Source organism: Homo sapiens, chromosome 7 (genome assembly GCF_000001405.40).
Source record: "Homo sapiens chromosome 7, GRCh38.p14 Primary Assembly".
Classification (NCBI taxonomy): Eukaryota; Metazoa; Chordata; class Mammalia; order Primates; family Hominidae; genus Homo; species Homo sapiens.
The window spans coordinates 122,526,940-122,550,288 of record NC_000007.14 but is presented as its reverse complement, the minus strand read 5'-3'; the positions used below and the strand labels follow the sequence as shown (position 1 = coordinate 122,550,288).

Genomic DNA, 23,349 nt, shown 5'->3' with positions numbered 1-23,349 from the left:
TATTTTGACATTGTCACAGATAAAACTCTGTAGTTTAATTTCCATCATAAAGATAGAAAAGGCATTGGGCTCATCTCTTGTTGCAAGGAGAGACAATAGTTAAACTTCCAGCAGAAAAACGAGACAAGCCCCACACCGGCTGCTTTGTGGCCCCACCATTTCCCAGAGAGAGGGCCAGCTGGGCATCCAGAGGTTGGGACAGCATGCCTACATAAACTGCATTCACACACTAAATATTCAGACATTGTATTTCCTCATAAAGTGAAATGACTGCACTCTAGTAAAGTTTCATTGTTTAGATTATTATTCAGGGTTTATGATCTCCAACTAATTTAGGGGAGGAAAATCTTAGCTGCGTCGAGGTAGTATTTGCTCAAAGAGTCCAGGCTTTAAACAAAGCCAAGTCTGTTCTTTCACAAAGCAAATTGATATTTCATTTTTAAATGTACCTTTTAGAATGACTTTCCCCTGTGTCCTTGTCTAAAATAACTATGTTTCGACATCTGACCTTGACTTGAACCTATGTATGTATGTATGTGTAGGTCTACTTGCATTCCCAGGTTGAACTTGGCCCAGCCTGGCTTATCCTGATTTCACCGAAATCCTACTTGAGTCCCTTGAACTATAATAATAATAATAATATTAATTAATACTAATCTTTTTTTTTTAAGACAGAGTCTCACTCTGTCGCCCAGGCTGAATTGCAGTGGCACCATCTCCGCTCACTGCAACCTCCACCTCCTAGGCTTAAGCAGTCCTCCCACTTCAGTCTCCCAAGTAGCTGAGACTACAGGCATGCACCACCACACCTGGCTAAATTTTGTATTAATTAGGCTAATTATACAATCACACGAATGTCTTGAGTGCGATGGTAACTACAAAATAAAAGTCATGTAGACGGTAAGTATTGAGTCAGCTGTTTAGGTTTATCAATCCTTGATTTTTTTGTATTAATTAGTGCAGTGGTAACTACAAAATAAATGTCATGTAGACAGTAAGTATTGAGTTAGCTGTTTAGGTTTATCAATCCCCAATTTTTTTGTATTAGAGACAGGGTAGAGACAGGGTTTCGCTATGTTGCCCAGGCTGGACTCAAACTACTGCACTCAAGCGATCCTCCTGCCTCAGCCTCCCACAGTGCTGGAAATACAGACGTGAGCCACTGTGCTCGGCCTTATGATATTCTTCAAGTTTTAACCACATCATTTGACTTTATTCAAAAGAAAATGCTTGAAGACAAATGAGAAAAATAGAAATGTACAAATCATCATTAATTCATTGAGAGTATAACAGTTATATCCCTATTAGGTCCTTTGCTTAATTGTTAGACTTTAATTTACATTTTTATTTGACAGCTATTATGGATGTAGATATGGTAGTTCGTTGCTCTTTGTGTGTTTATTTTTCTGCTAACTTTATTTTGTCTTCTCTCTATGTCCAAGGGAGAAAAATGAAAATATTACATAAGGGCTTTGAACCATGTCTGAGCAACTGACTTGAGTGATTTATCTAAGAAATAAGCTCAGGTTCTAAAAATAAAGAGCATCTGGAGATTATTTCATGGCAAGTGAGAGGAATAAGAAAGCACTTTCACTTTATTTCAGTCTAATGCTGTCTAACACTTTTTAAATAACTGGTGGTGCTCATTGTATGTTTTACTACAATTTGCTAGTTTAACTTGTAATTTTCTTGCTTAAATCATTAAATAAGTATGATTTGATCCATATAGCTCTACCAGTCTATCAAATCTTGCTAGTTGTGATATTAAAATTTGTCAAGTTTTATGATACATTGTTGATCTCATTAGATTTACATACCAGGTGAGTTAGTTTTAATTTCATCTCAGGTTGTTTTTGTTTATTTTTAGTTATAGTTTTATGTGTGATTCATTTTTATTTTAATTTAAAAAAATTTTTTAGACAGGGTCTTATCCTGTCTCCCAGGCTGTAGTGCAGTGGTGTGAACAGAGCTCACTGCAGCCTCCACCTCCTGGGCTCAAGTGACCCTCCCATCTCAGCCTCGTGAGTAGCTGGGACCACAGGTGTGTGCCACCATACCTGACTAGTTTTTTTAAAAAAATTTTTATAGAGATGGGGTCTCCCTATATTGCCCAGGCTGTTCTTGAACTCCTGGACTCAGGTGATCCTCCTTCCTCAGCCTCCCAAAGTGCTGAGATTACAAGTGTGAGCCACCACACCCAGCTAAATTGCTTTATTTGAAGAGGGATTGATAAACCTAAACAGCTGACTCAATACTTACTGTCTACATGACTTTTATTTTGTAGTTACCATCACACTCAAGACATTCATGTGATTGTATAATTAGCCTAATTAAATGTTTTGTGGAAAGAATCAGTGAGAGAGACTAGTGTCATTGAAATTAGCATTCTAAAGACCTTTGCCAGCTCTACTCTAGAATGCTCATAGTACTCACTTCCTCTGTTTCTTCTGTCTCTTATCAGGTGCTGTCTCTACAGCAGCCCATCCTGTTCACCCTACAAAGAACCCTTCTCTCTCTGCTTCCAATTCTACTTTTAACTGGCTTCATTCTTTTTTTTAAGCTCTTATTATCTGTGTGATATTTATTGTTTATTAACTGTATCCTCAACTAGAATGCTATTGCCATGGTGTAATTTGCTATTGATTAGCTTCCCAACTAAATTTGATTGCCATAGAATAGGAACCTTGTCTCACTTGCTATTTTTAAACCCAATTTTTAGAACATTGCCTAGTATTTAGTAGAAGCTAAACAAATATTTGTTGAATTGATGAATTTTTTTTAGAAAAGAATAGAATGCAGAAATTATGCTCACAGTTGTAAGTGGACTGATTGTTTGGATATTAACTTCAAATTATCTAATTGGTACCACTGTAAGGTGGATTTGTTGGAGTGTGTTTCAAAACATTATTGCCCCAGAAGAATTACAGGAAGTCTCCTTTTTTCACAAATTTAAATTTGACTATAAATCTAAAGACTGTATTAAAAAGAAATATATTATTTCCCCAAAACTTTAAATTGAAATTAATTACTGTCTGCAGGGAGGCTTGTTGCCTGTCAACATTTATTCTTAGACCATCCCTGTGGTTGAACTGTAGGAAGAAGTTTTAGCAACATTTCTTGTGGGTAGAGTATACCCCAGGGTTAATATGTTTTAATTTGTAAGAATGATGTATTATGTAACCAATACTTATAAAAATTAAAGGCAAAAAAAAAACACCCTAGATTTGAGCTTCGTTCATATTATCTTTATGGACTAAATAAAAGTAATTTGCTTTCTTTCTGCTACAGTGACCCCTGAATTTGAATAGTCATGCTATATTTATTTCAGTATTTATTCTGTCAATTCTATTTGGTGTACACTTTTTTTTCACATTTAGATAGGCTCAAAAATAATTCATGAAAATATTTTCCCCAACAGCTGACAAGAATGAGGAGAAATATACAAGGAACCAGTGTTTTAATGATGAGACAGGCAGGAAGAGTCCTAGACTGTATACGGAGAGGAATGGACTAAGCAAGCAAAAGCATGGGCTGACAGTACCAAGACTTGCAAAGATTTCAGAGTCAGAGCATGGCAGTGGGCCAAAGTCGGGATGAAACTTAGGAGCAGAAGGTTACATAAACCAGAAAGCATCATACATGGCAGTAGTGAAGGGCAATAGCAGCAAAAGTACAGCATATGGCAGCAAAGCTGGCCTTACTTGAAAGTCCCTGAAAAAAGGAAGGAAAAAGCTTAAGATCAGCAGAGGTCTAAAGAGGAGAAAATGAGTGTTTATGGAACATAGCAAAGGATAGGACATGGCCTAAAAATACAGGAATGATGAAAAGGAATCTCTTCAAAAGTAGTCCAAGCTTGTCTATTAGTGTATTTAATTTTGGCATTCTTTCCATAGATGTTAACATACGGGTATAAGGGTCCTAAAGAGTATTCCTACTCCTCTCTATATAATCATAACTAGAACTTACTTGAATGGGGCGTTGTTAATAGGGTATAATATCACGGCCACAGCCCCCTATGTAGACTGTATCTGAAGCACTTGAAAATCATAAGTAAACAATACTGGGGAAGATTATACAATGAACTTGCTTTAGCGTGATAGATGTGTGTTCAGATTATAAAAAGAAACATCACCACAATTTTAACATTAATACCAGTGTCGATGACATGAACAGAGGAAAGGGTTTACAAACATTATATTTCTAAGTATTCATCCTGCATTCATTTATATCCTTAAGGTTAGTACATTAGTAATTCAGAAGAGAAAAGCACATCTTATTCTCATGATTTAAAAAAAGATCGGCTTGTTACTTAAAAAAATACAAATGTATTTTTAATGCCTCTGGTTATTTTACGTATCAATATTAATACTTCTAAAACACATTTCAAAACATGGTTTTGACAGTGGATTAGAAGGATATAACAGTAGTCCACAGGTCAATCAAAGAAAAGTTGAATACCACCTATTTCCACCTTTGTGAAACTGGCAGCCTCATCTTTTCTGTCAGTTCGATTGATCTTTAGGTTTATCTTCAATTTACAACTTCCTCTTCACTGACATTAGTTAATCTCTATCTCTCTGTAGTACTTCCCACAACTAAATCCCTTTTTATTCCTTCTGCCAACCCTAATTCAGTCTCCATCCTAACAAACAAAACTTGTTCAAGGACTTTTCTACGATGTTCCCATTTTCCACACCATTTAGGAATTTAGGAATACAATTATATCTCTACTAAAAAAAAAATTCAGTTGCTTCCCAAGTGCCTGTGGGATTAGATGCAAATCCTTTAAGCTAGCATTCAGATTCTTCAAAAATCTGGTTCGTCTAGATTTTATACCCAACACGAACTCCTAACTTTGCCAAGTGGATCAGTTCATGTACCCTGAGCATGCTTTTATTTGCTCAAATCTATTTCTTTCACTCTTTTACCAAATCCTGCCACTCTAGTACCAGGTTACACATTTTCTCATACATATGTGCCAAGAGAGGCAGTTTATTTTCTGTGTAACTAATGTTTCCTCAGAAGCAGACTCTCCGCTAACTGCAAGCCATCTTGTCCCCACTCCCTTGATTTTTGAGAGAACTATTGAGTCTTTTTTATACCAAGATAATCGAAAGAGATGCTGGCCCTCCCTCTGCCTCATGAAGATTACTCCACATTTGTTACCTTACAAGCTGCACAAGAGAATCTGGAATGGGAGGTGGGGCAGAAGCCCTTCTACCCAAGGCATTCTCAACCACCTGTGTTCCCTATTCCGTCTCTTTACTTTTTACCACAGCCTACAGACACCAGAAGAATGGACTTTCTTCCTTTTTTCTGGCTGTCTAGGACCTTACTTAGTAAAATTTTTGATTAAGTCAGCCAGACTTGCCCTTTGCTATATTAAAGGGGGAGATAAGTGAATTACAAAGTTATTTGTACGTATGGTAGGTTGATCACATAAATAGAACCAATAAACAGGCTTCCTAAATTCATACCTTGTGCCCTAAATCTTTCTTGTCCCCTCCAACTTTGGGTTTGGCTATGTGGCTTGCTTTGGTCCCTGAGACAGAAGCAGATTTGACATAAGCATATACTTCAAAAAGCACATGTGCATTTTCACTTCCTCTCTTGCTCACTTCCTTCACCATGAGGACACACATGGGCTAGCCCACTGGTAAAGCAGAACTAAATCAGCCTAGTTGTGCTGACCTGGGTTTCAGGCATATGAATGAGTCCAGATGAAATGAACAAAGCCAGCTAGCCAGCGTGAAACTGACCACAGACCCACGAGTTGGTCATGGCCTGCCCAGCTCAGGTCAATAGAACTGCTTAATAAACTATAGGCTCATAAGAAATAATAAATCGTTGTCGTTTTAAGTCACGAGGTTTTAGGGCAGTATGCTATACAGCAAAGGTTAGATACTGTGCACTCTTGTCTTACAAAATCCTATTCAATTTATTTTTTCTATTATACATCAAATGCATGGAGCTGGATTAATCATAATCCTTAGCCCATGATGTATGTCACATTGATCTATACATTTATTTGTGCATATATATAATCTTTCCTGCACAATATGGCTTGCTACAAACATACTGTACTTTATCCATTTCATCAAAATGGACATTTGAATCATTCAAGATTCTTGCTATTTCATGTATTGCTACTGTGAACATTCTTGTACATGTCTCCTGGTATATATATGCATAGTTTCTCTTGAGTGGACACGTAGGAGTGGAACTGCTGAGCTCGTAAGAATGTGAATGTTTATCTTTACAAGATAATACAAAACTTTTTCAAGTTTTACTAGATAGTTCTACCAGTATACATTTCTTCCAGCAATATATAAGATCTTTCAGTTCTTCTCTTTTTTTGGCTTTTACCATCCACTGCCTTCTTTTGATACTTTTCACATGTTTTTGTTTATAGTTATATTATTGTCTCTTGAAGGCAGAGATCCTGACTCTTATTTCATTACTTAGTCCAAATGCTTCAGAACATAGTGGATACACATTATCGTCTGATAATTGGTTGATTTTTATATACTTTTGATTGTTCAGAATTTCAGATTAAGAGACAATATGAAAATTCCCTTGATATTTTTCATTTTTCCATCACAGACTGACTTGGGAATCCCAAATTGTGTTCCCAGATAATCTTGAATACTCCCTACTATAAAATTATAACATCCACCCTCCTATTTGTCTCACCAGCTCAGATCAACTTCTTGTGGGCTGGACCTTATTGTTCACCATTATTTGACCAAGCACTGAATGCATGCTTGATTTCATCAAATCAGTTATTCAACACATGTTTATTGATGTGTCAGACTCAATAAATGAGTAAATTTATTGAGACTATGTGTCAGACTCAAATGAGTGAATGAGTGAAATTTGCTGTAATAATAGTGATACTTAAAAAACCATCAAGAGTAATGCATTAGATACAGTAGAGCTAATTACTTGCCCCACTGAAATGGAACAGCTGTTAACCAAATAGCATAGACTAGAAAATTTTTAAAACTGTAAAATTGAAAACAGTTTAAGCTGGCAAAACACAGCATAATCATATGTAAAAAGTGTAGTGTACTGTTAGATATTAATTGCTTCTTCCATGACTTTGGCATCCATTTGGAAAGATACCATAAATAAGGGGTTCACAGAATCTATTTTAACTGGTAGCTTGAAGCTGTTTCCAAAATATCCTTATACCAGAATTCACAGATTATTAAAAAAAAATAACTTACTTTATTCTTCCTTGAGTGTTAATGTATATTAACACTATACATGATAGTGTTGCCCCAAGTCACTTAGATGGAATTTTCATTGGTCACCCTAGTCAGGGAAAGAACAAATATAAAATGATTATTTGAGAACAGTAACTGAAAAATACTGTCTTTGTTGGTAGTGGTTGTGAGAACTGTATGTGTTTATGGATGTTTATTAAACATGGAATGCATTTAAGAATAGAAAGGGCTTAACTCCTCTTATGAAATGTGAAAAACTGTAAAAGGGAAGATGATAAAACCGGAGTGATCAGAGAGATTCTAGACTGATGTAGACTATGATGAACAGGGCAGAAAAAAAAATAATGAATAAAGTGAATGAGGATTGAACCTGAAATGTGTAAAACATTAAAATGAATCAGAGAGCTACAATAAAACAGGAAAGTAATGTTACAGTTGAAAATACTGCAAAGAATATAGATAAAGTTATCCTCCACAATATCTATTTGTCCATTGGACACAAATATGCATGTTTTATTTATAGAAAGACAAGTTCCCATTTGTTTAGCCTTTCCCTTGATCTTAAAATGAAAGTTATGAACATTTAATAGAATCTGCTAATAATACCTTCCCAAACTTGCACTTAGTTATAGAAAACCATGTGTTGTTTACCCAAAGATTTAGCCATTTGACTTACTATCATATCTGAGAGAACGAGAGTGTTAGGTGTGTTTGTAGTAATATATATGAATAATGAAATGTTAATACATAATTAAAATTTACTAAAGGATAGTGTAATATCATAGTAGGACAGCTTAATTGTAGTTCCTAGAGTCTGCAGCCAGCATGCCAATTATAGCCTCATCACTGTGTGATCTTAAGGCAAGTTACTTAACCTCCCTGTGCCTCCCTTCTTCCCCTGTAAAATTGAATATGACAATCACCAATTTCAAAATGATGCTGTAAGGATTAAATGAACTAGTATCACTAAAGTGACTAAAACATTGCCTGGCACGTTGTTAGCTGTCCATTTTAGCTGTTATCATTACACAATAGATAATTTATGATTTACAAATAAATGATGATTTGATTTTATGCTACTATTACACATATGATATATTCCATGTAACTTTTAGATATTCTTCTGTTGCAATAGTTATATATAAATATATATGAATATATAAATATATATGAATATATATAAATATATATGCATATATATAAATATATATGAATATATAAACATATGAATATATAAACATATGAATATATAAATATATATGAATATATAAATATATGAATATATGTGAATATATAAATATATGAATATATGTAAATATATGAATAAATATATATGAATATATGTAAATATATGAATATATAAACATATATGAATAAATATATAAACATATATGAATATATAAAGATATGAATATATATGAATATATGAAAATATATATGGATATATGTGAATATATAAATATATATGAATATATAAATATATATGAATATATGTATATTCATTACAGAAAAATGGAATTATAAGAGAAGCATAAAAAAAAAAAAACAAAAATTGGCTGGGCACAATGACACATGCCTGTAATCCCAGCACTTTGGGAGGCTGAGGCGGGCGGATCACCTGAGGCCAGGAGTTCAAGACCAGCCTGACCAACATGGTAAAACCCCATCTCTGCTAAAAATACAAAAAAAAAAAAAAATAGCTGGGTGTGGTGGTGGGCGCCTGTAATCCTAGCTACTCGGGAGGCTGAGGCAGGAAAATTGCTTGAATCCAGGAGGTGGAGGTTGCAGTGAGCCGAGATCACACCATTGCACTCCAACCTGGGCAACAGTGAGACTCCGTCTCAAAAAAAAAAAAAAAAATCATCTCATAATACCAGTTTAAAAAATATTCTTAGGTATATGAAAGTTAAAAGTGCTGCTTTTTCTATTTCATTCTGAACCACAGTATCACCTATTTGGTGCACATATTTTTGTTTCTCTGTGTGTATATCTTTGTTATATTAACATACTCAATTTACAGTAATTTTAGACATTTTCTATTTCCAACACTAACATTTTCTGCCAGCATTAAGTACTCTCTATGTATTTATAGTGTTCAGACCGTAAAAGTCATATTATGAATAAATGGGTTAAAAATTATTTCTTAATTAAAATCATTGCTATAACTTACATTTCTATAAAATCAATTGGTTTTTATAAGTCATATAAAATGAAAACTGGAACTTTGTGATACAGAGCACAAATTGCGTTAATGATTGATAGGTATTATGAGTGAAATGAAAAATTACTAGACAAGGAGAAGAAAGAAGAAAGTGTTTATCCTGCTACCAAATATTCAGTGAATGGATTATAACTACAATCTTGTCTTTAATGTTTCCCATGGTAATTGTCAGGAAGAGGTATGAAGAATTGTGGGACCTTAATAATATGCCTTGCCGTTTTAATTGCTGAGAGAAGCAAGAGAATTTTAATTGCCAGGAGATACATTACTAATTAAAGTGTCATTCTACATTTATTCTGAAATAATTAGTTTGAATATTTGTAAGAGCCGAGATATAAATTTAGTTCCAAATTGAGGAGCATACCCACAACAGACTTTGTTAAAATGATCTATGGTTAAGAAAGGTTAACAATCATAAAACTTTAAATGTTTCTTTAATTTGATACCATTTAATTTTTTATTGGATTATTCAACTTGAAAAATGGAATTCACAGTATTTTAAAACTTAGTATTCCTTTTAAATTACTATAATACTAAGTTAAAGTCCTAAATTGCTTTCAGATTTCTGGGGTATCGGTATTCTAAATTTTTTAGTTTTAGCATTTATTACAGTTCAGGGAAAATCTTCTTTTGTAAATGATGCCAACATGAGTATAATGTCATATATGAATTATAAATTCTGTTGATACCACATGGAAACTTGTAATGTAGTCATGATTCAGTGGACTTTTAAAATTCTAGACTAAATCTCAAATACGCAGCTAAAATAAATTAACTGAAAATGACATGTACTTGAAATGAGCTTAAACAGTAAACTTAACACAAAAGAGTAAATATATTAAATATAAAATGTGACTTGAAACATTTTGAACATATGGTTACCTAAAATCATCAGTTGAAGTTTTATGAAGATTAAGGACACATTAGGAAAATGGAAAAAAAAGGTGAAAAAATGTTTTTCTTCATATGATTATTGCATAAAATTAAAGCATGCTTTACTAAAGAAAGAAAGAGAGAGACAGAAAGACAGAGATGGACAAAGAGAGATGGAGAGAAACAGAAAGAGAGAGACAGAGACAGAGAGAGACAGAGAGAGAGGGACAGACAGGCAGAGTTATAAGATTTACATTTAAATTTACAACATTCTAAATACTCATTTTTTTCCCTTTATGACTGGTACACAATTACATTGGTTACAAAGGCTGTTGATGGATTTACCTTGATTGCCTTTTTGTTTTCCTTAGGATTTGGAGCACAGAGCATTGAATACTGTTATTTCTCTTTTAATGACTCACCATCACCAGCCCCTCTTTTGTTTTACTTAAATATTTCATTTCTGATCCCATCTCTTATTTCGCTCCTGCCCACATAGGTATCTGTCTTAGTCCATTTTGTGTTGCTCTAATGGAATACCACAGACTGGGTCGTTTATAATGAACAGAAATTTATTTAGCTCAGTTTTAGAAGCTGGAAAGTCCAAGATTAAGGGGCCAGCATCTGGTGAAGGCATTTTTGCTGTATTAAAATATGGTGAAAGGCGTCACATGGGTCAAAGAGAGAGGGGGGCTGAATTCATCATTTCATCAGGATCTCACTGCCATAATAATGGTGTTAATCCATTTGTGAGGGCAGAGTCCTTTGTGATCTTAAAGGTCCCACTTCTCAACACTGTTGCATTAGGTTTTAAGTGTCTGACACATGAACTTTGGGAGACACATTCAAACCATAGCAGTATCCACTTTGTATTGGTTAATATAGCCATGGATGTTGTGTATCCTTGTAAAATGTGTAGTATGTGTGTGTGTTAAATATTGATGTTTTGTGCTATAGATATTTAATTTTTTTCATTAAACATCCAGTATTTAAGACCTACATTCATTGTTATATATTCTTTTAGGTCACTGCTTCTTGTACTACCTGGCATACCACAGTGTCTACTACATTTTACCTATTTGATCCTCTAATGATAAACACCTGAATTGTCTCCAACTCCCATCGTTATAAATAGTGTTCCAGTAGTTGTCCTTGATCATGTCCACTCACAGTCCTGTGCAAGAATTTCTCCACTATGTATAATCAGGAATGAGGCATACAGATACTTAATTTCACTAAGTATTTCAAGATTGCTTTCCAGATTATCTGTTCCTACTTACAGTGTACTTTCCTATCTCCTTACCCAAAATTGGTTTTACTGGCCTTTCTAATTTTTGCTTTTCTGGTAAGGGGAAGCAATGATATTTTTCTCCTTGAACTATCAATATAGTAATTTATATTGGTGGAGTTTTTTTGTGTTAAAACATCCTTACATTCATGGAAAACAATATTTTTATTTAAATGTTACGAAAATTTTTTAAAATTAAATAAAATTTAAATAATACCCTTCAATTTATCTGACTGCTAATGAGTTAAGGTAAATGTTCTTTTTTTTTTTTTTAAACTAATTAAGCTTCTCCTTGTGTTTTTAAAAAAAAAAAACAAAAAACCTAATTAAGCTTCTCCTTGTGTGTTTATATTCACCTCCACTGCCAAATTTCACATCTCTGCTTATAAGTTAAATTGGTCTATAATTTTTTTCTTCACTGTTCTGAAGTGATTTTCAGTCTAGGAATCAAAGGTATATTAACCTCATTAAATCAGTTGGACAGTAATTTTTTTGCATTCTCTTTTTCACTTTGTTTCTCTTTTTTTTTTTACTGAATTTGTATAAGTGGGATTTTTCAGTCATTGGGAGTTTGTTAGAAATGTATTTTCAATAATATCTGGATTGGAAACTTCGGTTGGAGGTAAGGGGAGGTATTTTTGAATACCTTTGGTGGCCATTTCAAGTTTTTTAGTAATTGTTGATCGGTTTAAATTTTTGCATTTTATGTTAGTTTTTCCTTTGGAAAGTATTTTTTTCCAGATTATTATTAGATTTAGCTATTAATATTATTTAAAATCTTCTCTTGCGTTTTTATCCTTTTTTAAAATTATTTTTTATTTCATTTTTCTCACTTCAAATATTCTGTTTAATTTCTGTTATTCCTGCAGAAGTTTGTCTGCAATACTAATCTTTTCAAAGGACTAATACATTTGTATTAATTTCGTCTCTCTTAAAAAATCTTAGTTCCATTAATTTCCTCCCAAATCTTCATTATTTCCTTTCTTCTATTTCCCTAGGATTGTTGGGTTGTGTTTTTTCCAAATCCTTGAGTTGAATAATTCAGCTTATTTTTCCCAGTATTTCTTATATCCCAATAGCCTTGAGTTTTTAATATGAAATTTTTGTTTTTGTTTTTATTTGTTTTATTTTATTACTCAAGGAAAAGTTTTTTTTCTAATTCTTTTGCAGTTGTTTCACCTCAAAAGAGCTTTTTTTCTGCTTATGTTGAGTTTTTGTGTAAAATTTTCACCTAGTTTTATCTTTAATTTCATTCTCTATTAGCATAAGAAAGAATCTTCTTCATCATAGCATTACACTTTATAATTTTCTTTTAGAATTTTTCCTCTGTTATGTAGTGCTTCTGTATTCTCTGGAGCATAATCTTTTGTTTTTTGTTTGTTTGTTTTTTTTTTGCTTGTATTACCATTCATAGATACTTATCTAAACAACCTAGGACAAATAGTTGTAAATATACTTCTTTGATAAATAGTTGTATACATGCTTCTTGAAAGTCTTTTTTTTTTCACTTTTAAGATTGGAGTACAAGTGTAGGTTTGTTACATAGGTAAACTTTTGTCATGGAGGTTTGTTATACAGATTATTTTATCATCTAGATATTAAGCCTAGTAAATAGTTATTTTTCCTGATCTTCTTCCCTCCTCCCATCCTCCACCCTCAAAAAAGTCTCAGTATGTGGTCTTCTCCTCTATGTGCCCATGTGTTCTCATCATTTATCTCCCGCTTATAAGTGAAAACATGTGGTATTTTCAGATATCAGCTTCCCTTAATCTCATTCATCAGGCATTTCATTACTATCATCAATGAATTATTTTGACCAGTGGTGACCAAGTCTGACCAAGGTAGCTTGAGAGCTTAGGCCCCCTGTCCCTTAATCTTCATTAGCACCCTTTCAGACCTCTGATGTGAGAGTTGAGGTTTTCTGAATCTGAAAGCGCTGTGCAAACTCAACTGCTAAAAGAATCCTTTAGGTCCCTCTTTTCCCCTTGACATCCCATTCATATAAAAAGATTGTTTTCCATAAGACCCACCTGTGTAGAAATTTCAGACTCCAGTTACTGACCCTCATCAGTAAATGGTCTCTCGCCTGTTTGTGTGCTTATTTTTTCTCCATGCATTAAGCATTAAGCTTCTAGTTTAGAAATGCAATGGATTGGGTACTTTTTCATCTTATTGATCCTCACAGATGTGATTTCTACTCAAAGTAGGAAGTAACCTTGATCTTTTATGGGCCCAATTGATACAAAACAGATTTTCATCTTCAGAATCCTATAGCACTTTCTACTATATATTTTTAATTATATCTGAAGGTATCTTTCTTAGCTCTCTTACTCGTTAAGTGTCCTGTGGCAATGATCTGTGTCATTTTCATCTTTAATTCCTCATTTTAATTCCTAACACACTGTTTTGCAATTAACAGGTCCCTAATAAATAATCTTAAATACTTCTATTTTTCTAGTCTGTTCATTATTCAGTAACTATAATTTATAACTATTCTACAACTATTCATTTTTCTTAAAAGCAAAAGGATATCATTTGTCTAATATTGTTTTGTTTTGCTTTATTCTGTGGAGATAAATTTACATTATAAAATTTAGGTTTGGAGAAACCCAATTACAAAAGGCAATTTGTATAAGGATGCCTTGTCATGCTACAGGTTCTGTCTCTCTTCCCAGTAGGGAGATAGTTTAGGACTGCCTCACAGCAGCCACTTAGTTCAGTTGGGTAGATATGGTGCTAATAGTCTAGGGTTTCCTCTAAGGTCTTGTTATCCTTCTTTATCCTCACTTTATCAAATGCTTGATAAAGTATTATTGGAAAACGTGAGAGTAAGACTCGCAGTGGAATTTTTGTAAAAGTTTTAAAAGGTCCCAAGAGACACAAGTCACTTTCACTGATGTGGGGCTCAGTATATCATCCCATCAATCTACAACTCTTGCCATTAGGCTTTAAAACAAGATCTATTTGCATGAGTTATTATCAAAAATCCAAATATATATTTGTTTTCATCAATGATACAGCAATATTCTCTACTAGTTCTTACAGGAATGTGTGGTCAATATCAATAGGATAATTCTGGTAATTATGCCTGTTTTGTAAAAGTCTTGTGAACATACTGGAAAGGTTCTTTAACAGACTTTATAAAAATAAAACATATTTATTATCTGGTATACTATTACCTTTTTAGAGTACTCAGCTACTACTCTAATTAGCAAGCTGATCCAAACATATGACTTCTTACATCTCTGACATCCAGATATAGTAGATTAAATACATTTGAAGAATCTATCACATTAAATAATATTCTTATTTAGTTCTTACAACACTATGTGATAGGTATGATGATACCAACTTACAAACAAGATCACTGAGTCATAAGGAGGTTAAGAAATTTGCCCAAAGCCATATAGCTAATAAGTGACCATGATTTGAACTCACTTGTCTGATTCCAGAGCTTATTCTCTAAACTGCTAGGCAACACCACCTACTAATACAAAATACTTTTCTCTTTAAGTGATCACTGTCAGTTCACGATACTCAAGTACCACCAGAGGCCAGGCAACTCAAATACTTGTGTAAAGTGATTAGGTTAAAAGTCATGAGGACTGGAAGTATCAGGATTATAGAAATCAGGAGAACATGTCCTGCAAAAGGGATTTCAAAATATATTTTTAAATGCTCAGCTTTCAAAGCACATTGGCAAGCCAGATTTGGTCCATGAGTCACCATTTTTTATTTTTTGGTTTATAGAAACATCCCTCCCCATTACTACTTTTGAATAATTTAGAGGTTCTGCTAATTGCCACATACTCAGAAACTGTATTTGCTTCTTTTCTTAGTGGCTAAGGAACCTTGGATATTCACATATTTTGAAATTGATTTCATTGAAATAAGAGAATGAAAGGAATTAAAAATGCACTTTTTTCCTGTTTAAATCTTTCTTCATGTCATTTATTAAAAATAATGACATTTCCATTGATGTACATTACTGTTAATCTGCCATCAAATCAATTATCTCTTCTGTGGCTATCTGAGGCCTGGCCTATATTTACTCAATAATTTACAAACTCTAAATATTAGGGTCTTGAGTTAGGACATAAAATTCATCATCAGTTTGACATTTATTTCTCATCTCAGAATTGTATCAGTTTGTAAGTTTGGCATGGTGAATATCTCAATTTATAACTATGCCTTAAGCCTGTGACTTTGTAGTGAATTATATGAAAAACAAATCTGCATAATATCTTTCAGCCTAGTAAATATATTTGCTCTCCTCTGTGTAGTTACTTTGCTGAAATATCACTTAGAGACTATGTTGGGAGGCATTGTTGAAATAGTCTTGATATGTTAAAAGCTTAGCCTATTTTGAACTGATCATATCAGTTCAAGGAATTTACCTTACTACAAAAGCAAATGATTTTGATTGTTTAAATGTAAGATTAGGAAACAAAATCCCTCATATTAAAGTTGTCTAGAGTTTAGATAAAAATCAGAATCACGCTTTTAAAAGAATTCAGGTGCAATAAATAGAATTCAGATCAGCAAATGTTCAGACTCCTAAATCATTGGCAAATTAGGTAATACACAGAGCTGGAGATGTGAATATTATATAATGAGGATAATAAAGGAGTTGAATGTGATGTGCCTTGGGTGCATGTTAGTAGCTAATTCCAATATGAATGCTTTGCAATCATTTGCCAGCAGAGATGCATGCGTTCGGCTAAATGGAAATCTTGGACGTTCTCTCATACACCCCATTATTTGTAATTGAACACCTGATTTCTATCATGCAACAAATTAACATCTGCACTGGATCTGTCTTTTATGCATATGGATACACTGATTAGAATTTTGCAGATAGGCAGATACTTGAAAACAAAAAGACAACATTGTGAAACACTTCCAGCCATAATTTTTGATTACATATTGAGAATCGTTTAATTATCTTACTCCATGTAATTAGCTCTTCTACTTAGGTCAATTGCTTTTTTTATTAACATGACATGTTAGCAATTTGTTAATTGGCATAAAATAACATGAGACTTCTGGATATTTCATATGAGAAATACATGTGCTTAAGGAAGCTAAGGGAAACACAAAGAGGTAAATGCATTCATTAGCCCCATTATATTGGTGCCACCAAAAGGTGTGCTTCTATTCTTTGAATTTCTGTCCTTCCGTTAAGCAGTGTGAGTTTGTTGATTTGAGTGGTTACAAAAATTTAAGACCATGGGTGTACATTTAAAATAGAAGAGTATTTTCTGAAATTAAAAGAATGATAAAGAAATGGATATAAAAATGCTAGCTGGTGGCAGGGAGCTAGGTAGAGAGTTACATACATTCAGGTAAGACAATTATTAATTGTTAAAGAGATTTGTCGTTATCAAGCCTTTAAGCTCCAGGCTATTTTTTTAACTACTGCTTTATATTAATAATTTCTACATATTAATAAAGATATTATTGGTTTTATCTAGAAAGAAAAATTGATTTTCTTTCAAGGAATTTCTCTAGCATCTGGCACAAATAGACAACTGCCAGTATCCTACATATTAGATATGTAGGAATTTAAGAGCTAAAAGAGATTTGAGGGTTACTTAGCCCCACATCTCTAGAGGGCAAGAGTGATAGGCCTTTCTAAAAATGGGGGTGGGGGTGCGGAGCATTTATGTATTAACCCTGTTACTGAGTATGTTATGGGCAAAGCACTAGGTTGGGCATTCTGACAAATAAAAAGATAAATTCGCATAACCCTATCCCAGTGAGAAATGTTTAGTGTTCCTTTTTTGTAAGTAATGTTTTTATCCACTTGGGGGCACTATGATCAAATTTAAAAAGCAAACAAGAAAAATGTTATTTTGGTTTATTTCCATTAAAATTGTTTATCGTACTCTCGGGAAATATAACTGTATACTTTTAGATAAAATACCTTTTAAATATACAGAGATGGTTGGCTTTTATTCTTTTCATTTTTTTAAGTTTCAGAATAGGTACAGATTAAAACAGCAGTTCTCAAAAGTGTGGATACTGGATACCAGGCCAGCAGCGTCAGCATCACCTGAGAACTTGAACATGCAAATTCTCAGGCCTGATCTGTCGATCTGGAACTCTGGGAGGTTGTGGGGTTGGCGGGGTAGGGGGGTGGGGGTGGGGAGAGGTCGGAGTGCGGCAGTGTGTATATTCACAAGCTGTCCATGTAAGATTTTTGTTGCTTATTAACATTTGAAAACCCCTGAATTAGAATATGTGCAATTTGAAATACTTTATTTCCAACTCTTTAAAAATTAAGTTATCAATTAGCTTATTAATATGTTTGGAATATTGTAGAAAATGTGTTTCTTAGGAAAGTTACCTACATTAGCAATAGATAAATAGATGAGCCTGAAGACTTAAGGTAATTTTTTTGCCCGTGATTGTGCAACTGTGTCCATATAAGTCAGAGTAGTTAGTTGAATGGTCATTTTTATCTCCTCCTCAAAAAGGAACAATTTGAGATAAATCATTTGTTGTATTATGTAGAAAAATCAGCCAATTGATAGAATTTCCCAAATCTAACTTTTTGCAATGTCGGGGCATAGCCTAGATGTCAAGATAATGCTAACAGGCTAACAGTATTTTGTTTGTTTGTTTGTTTTGTTTTTTTTTTTTTTGAGACGGAGTCTTGCTCTGTCACCCAGGCTGGAGTGCAATGGCACGATCTTGGCTCACTGCAACCTCCGCCTCCTGGGCTCAAGCAATTCTCCTGCCTCAACCTCCTGAGCAGCTGGGATTACAGGCACCTGTCACCACACCCAGCTAATTTTTGTATTTTTAGTAGAGATGGGGTTTCACCATATTGGCCAGGCTGGTCTTGAACTCCTGACCTTGTGATCTGCCTACCTCAGCCTCCCAAAGTGCTGGGACAACAGGAGTGAGCCACCGTGCCCAGCCTGCTAACAGTATTTTTTAAAACATCTCTGTAGTATCTTTATACTTATTACAAGGGATAATACATATATTGGGTCATTTGATCCTCTGGATAATTCTTTGAAGCAATTAGGAAACCAATCGTTATCTCCATTTACAATTAGAAAAAACTGATTGAGACTCAACTGAGACCAGTTTTAGAATTCTTAGAATTCTTATCTGTAAGTATATTAGTATAGGGACTCTACTCATTCTCTTTTTAATAAGTAGGTAATTTTGTTGCCCCATTCTTAAGAGTTAGTGGGAACAACTAAAAGAGAATACTGTTGCCCTTAAGAGAAGAACTTCAAACCTCTGGTTTTAGGAAGGAGAATCTTGCAGGTGTAGATGACTAGACTGTGAGGCTGGAACTTGAATTCTGAGGGTTCCCCTCCTGGGGGGATTCTCACATCCTTTCCACAATACTGTGCTTGACCTCAGACATACCCTAACTTCACCTCTTCTTCTTTCTCTTCCATTGTGGACACTCTTTTCTTTGACGCTCTCTGCAGTTAAAGCAGTGTAGAACTTCTGAAAGTCTTTATGCTAAAGGACAACAAATGAGAAAGTAATCACAAAGAATATAATAAACTACCAGTACAGCTTGCTGTCACTGATGGATTCTGAGCTGTTTCTCTACTGCAGTGTGACACTGTACTCTCTCAAGATTGCTGACTTTAAATGGCACCTCAGTGAGGCTTCCCTACTACTTAACTCTTAGTTGTTGTTGGTTTTTTCTCAGTGAAGATTCCTATCTTACGCCCACCAGGGATGGCATTCTATACATGTGAACACTTTCCCATTCACAATCAATCCAGCATCTAGCACAGGAGGTCCCTCTCCCCAGAATACAAGGAATGGTCTTGATCCTGTTGTTCTGAGATCAAGACCATCTCCTCCGTATAAAAGAGGTAAAAAGCTTACTTGAAGACAATTTTATATATATGGTAGCTGGAAGCCATTGCTTCAAAATTAAATAGAATGCTAAAGTGAATCTTGTAGCAAAGTCAGAAAGTATAAATATTTAATGAATATTGTGTATTAATAGTTATGTGTAGTTTTTAGCACAGTCTTTTGTAGTATTAAAAGTATCAGAAGTTGGTTATAACTTACTGTTGTCTGTAGTGATAATTGAAACCTTATAAGATTGTTATATTAACTGAGATATGTAAAGCATAAAGCACAATACTTAGAATATAGAAAATTTATCTTTTGAAAGGTAAGTTGTTATAAGGAAAATGATGGTGATAAAATGCAGTGGGGATAGTTATTTTAACAACATTAGTAGAGTATACTATGGCATAGAATATTTCCTAATGTAACATAGTCTCATTTTACTCACTTTTTAAAATTTGTTTTTACTTTCAGATAGAGTGAAGCTTAATTAACTTGAAAGCTAGTGGGAAAAAAAAAAAAAAAAGCTAACTTAAGCCTAAGTGGAAACCTTTTCTTATTTCAAAGCTTATTGTTGAAAACTATATTGAAATTTGTTAGAATTTTGTGCTTTTTAGAGTTCACAAATATATTTTATTTTTAGATTACTAAGGATCATTTACTCACCTGTGTTCATCTGTCTGAAAGTCTGTCTTGTAGGAACTACCATGGTAATTTATCTTTACCTTTTATAATATCTTCTGCATTATTTTTGTATTAAGTATGAGGATATCTTCTGTTCTAAACTGCCCAAAGTAAATATTAAGTGAGTCAAATAGCACTAATTCCAAAATATGTCTTATAGAGTCTAAAGTAAGTTTTTCATGCCAGTTTTCTAATTGTAGATCAAAGGAAGGAAATAAAAAATAAAAACCTCTGAAGAGTTAAAGAATTATTTGGATTCTAATCTATTAACATTATAGTGCAATTCTTGTTAACTTTCCAATTATTTATGTATCTCCCTGAAAAGCAGATATAAATGTGCCAGCAATTGAATCAAACCTCATACCCAGGAATGTAATTTTGGCGTGGATCTTCAAGCGGGATCCACATTTTATTTTCCTGTGGAAAAATAACATACCTTCTTAATTGAAGCTGAATAAATCTTATGTTTCTTTTCAATTCTGCTGTTTAGATGGTGCCATCCAAAAGACAGGGAGGAAAAATATATTTAAAAGTCATTTTCTTCCAAAGGCTGATTTTCCTCCCATTCCATTTAATGGTTGTTACTCATTAAGAAAAATCCAGAGACACCACCAGACTGGCTTTAACTCTTTTATTCTTTTCTATTAATTAGTATTGTTCCTCTACAAGTTCATGTAACAGATTTCTAGTCTTTATCCCTAGTTTTATGTGTAATAGGAGAAGGATTTCTGCTTATAATAGTTGTAAAATTAGGGATGGGTATACTTTTTTCAGTGAAATAAATGCCTTACTTATTTCTTTTACTCCAAATGTGTTTTTATGCCTCTTTCATTTGTATGCCTATGAATGTATGAGTCTGTGAAATGATTCCATTAAAATAGAAATATTTAGTTATTTGAACTAATATATCTTAGTGTTGCTTTTTTGGGGTGGGAAGGTACTGATTTCCTGTGCTGAAATGTGCCGTAAGAAAAAAGAAAGAAAAGGAATAGATTTTGTTTCGGAGTGGTTTATAAGGAACAACTTCACAAGTACCTTTGGACATGGCATTGTAATTCTTGTAGGACAAAAGTAATAATATGTATATGTCCAGTAGATGGCGCAAACATTCCCCCAAATAGAAAATAATTGTCTTAAAGTACAAAACTTGGTATTAATAATAAAAGTGGCACTTATTTAAGTAGAATTAAGTAATTTTCAACACATTTTCTTTTTCAAAAATGTAAAAAGAAAAGGTTAAAAGGAAGTGAAGTGGTAGTTCATTTTGGACATATCAAACTTGTCAAGAAAGTATCAAATTAATATAGAAAAACTTTAATGTTTAGTAGTTTATGAATAATCAAAGATATCACAAGGTCAGTTTTAACAAAAAATATCCAAAACTTGAAATTTGGAATATGTTGTGTAAATGTCAAAAGCTATTTTTCCTACTATCTTGGTTTCATTTTTATGTGTCCTACATTCATAAGCAGAAGCACTGTGAATATAGTTTTGTCAGCAAATAAATAAATGGAATTCTTAAGCTTTAAGTTAAAAAGGAAAAGAAACATTATATAAATCTAGTCCTATGTAGTCCATCCTTACTGCCCATGGATTCTTTATGACTACTGGCTTTACTTAGTTATTCATTCTCCCCTAAATAAAGATACATGAGAGAGAAGCTGAACGTTATAATTTTTGTAGTAGTCTAGAATTTGTTAGTTGGTTGATAAGTAGCAATTTCTTAAGAACTTAAGAAATTCTGTAGCTTGCAACATAATACAGGTACTCTTTAGAAACATTGCTTTTATCTAATGAATAAGAAGAGCTAGTTTTTGTTGTTGTAATGTGTGACATTGTAGGTATTCTTCATTTTAGAAAAAGATATACTTACATTCTTGCCCCATTCTTGGAAAGCTTTTTTCCTTAAATGGGACAAAGCTGAAAAGTTTATTACCATCCTCACACCCCAAAGAGTCCTTCAAACAAGTTAAGTTGAAATATTTTCTGTTCTGCTTACCACCACCACCACCACCACCACCACCACCACCACCACCACCACCACCACTAATGCCTTCATCTACATTGTGTTTTATAGTTACAAAGGCCCCTTTCATACATCATTGCAGCAGATTTTTGTAATGACCCCATCTATTATAGCAAGGGAGCTAATATTGCTATTCTTGTTTTACAAATGAGAAAAGTAAATCTTATACCTGGCACTTAGCCATTTAGAGAATCATTTAGGTTCTCTCTCTTTCTCTGTTTGTCTGTCTCTCTCATTATTTTCACCCTTCTCTCTCTGTTTTGGGGGAAACATTTATTCTCCATTCCCAATACTTGCTTCCATGTAAGGGATATTCATTACCGTAATGAATGTTCTCTGTTCATTCTGCACAAGCCTGTCATGGGCAAGATCTTCTCATGGAACAGCCTGTCCTCTTAGCACTATCTGTGACTGGGCTGGGGAAAATACGTGTCATAATAATACTGAACCTCATAAGGAAGCCCACCACTTGCAGGAAACACACACACACACACACACACACACACACACACACTCTCTCTCTCTCTCTCTCTCTCTCTCTCTCTCTCTATTCAGTATTATCTTTACCAGTATTAAAGGTGATGTTTTGTACTCTGTCTACTCTTTTAAGTCAATTTGTTCAGAACTCGGGCAAAGAAAAGAGATACTGAATTACTTGGTCTCCTCAGAGATTCCAACTGTCAATATCAGACAGTTTTGTGTTTTTTTTTTTTTTAGCATATTAGTGAGAGTTAGAAATCTGGTAGCATTTTGAGATCTTTAGACATATAATATATTCTGTTCCATTTTGACTGAAAGGTCCTTGTGATGCTGTGAGATTGAAGCCATTTTCAGCGGTGGTTGAAGAGCCCTGGAAGTCCCTTTTCGGCATAAAGGGGCTTAAGGTGCACTAGATTCCTGAACCTCCAAGCCTGTTTTCACAGCAGCTGCTCCATGCTTCCTTAATGTTTTCATCATTCACATTAAGTTAAAATTCAGGGTAATATTCTGCTGCTAAAATTATTTGAATACTCTTGATCTAAATATACTACCTTTATCAAAAATCCAAAGGCTATCCAAGACTTTTTAACATTTTTGATATATGTTGTATAATTTTTGCAAAATATTTACTTCCTTTATTATAGTTTTATTACAATTGTTCCTAATGACAAACTAGGAAAAGACCATTCAGTCATTCCAAAAATGTTTATGG

At 33.8% G+C, this 23,349-nt stretch overlaps 1 protein-coding gene and 1 long non-coding RNA gene across 30 annotated transcripts in view, besides 3 other annotated features; one reads left to right on the top strand and one right to left on the bottom strand.

The window, feature by feature from the left end:
* Positions 1-22,557, bottom strand: part of LOC105375481 (uncharacterized) — a 35,791-nt gene extending 13,234 nt beyond the window's left edge. Inside the window, exons 1-3 of the long non-coding RNA XR_001745347.2 lie at positions 22,479-22,557; positions 19,001-19,099; positions 7,230-7,317 (exon numbers count right to left, since the gene is read on the bottom strand). This is a non-coding gene — a long non-coding RNA (uncharacterized LOC105375481). The remainder of the gene's footprint in view (positions 1-7,229; positions 7,318-19,000; positions 19,100-22,478) is intronic.
* CADPS2 (calcium dependent secretion activator 2) overlaps positions 1-23,349 on the top strand; it is a 568,050-nt gene that overhangs the window by 336,172 nt on the left and 208,529 nt on the right. The window lies entirely within an intron of this gene.
* Positions 5,379-5,488: an enhancer, noted in NCBI's record as "active region_26564". NCBI's record gives its function as "activates an Ori minimal core promoter by ATAC-STARR-seq in GM12878 lymphoblastoid cells {active_cell/tissue: GM12878}" and the evidence as "EXISTENCE:reporter gene assay evidence [ECO:0000049][PMID:35858748]".
* Positions 22,120-22,620: an enhancer, noted in NCBI's record as "H3K4me1 hESC enhancer chr7:122167723-122168223 (GRCh37/hg19 assembly coordinates)". NCBI's record gives its function as "activates a minimal SCP1, AML or CMV promoter by ChIP-STARR-seq in naive H9 embryonic stem cells {active_cell/tissue: H9 hESC(naive)}" and the evidence as "EXISTENCE:reporter gene assay evidence [ECO:0000049][PMID:30033119]".
* Positions 22,621-23,121: an enhancer, noted in NCBI's record as "H3K4me1 hESC enhancer chr7:122167222-122167722 (GRCh37/hg19 assembly coordinates)". NCBI's record gives its function as "activates a minimal SCP1, AML or CMV promoter by ChIP-STARR-seq in naive H9 embryonic stem cells {active_cell/tissue: H9 hESC(naive)}" and the evidence as "EXISTENCE:reporter gene assay evidence [ECO:0000049][PMID:30033119]".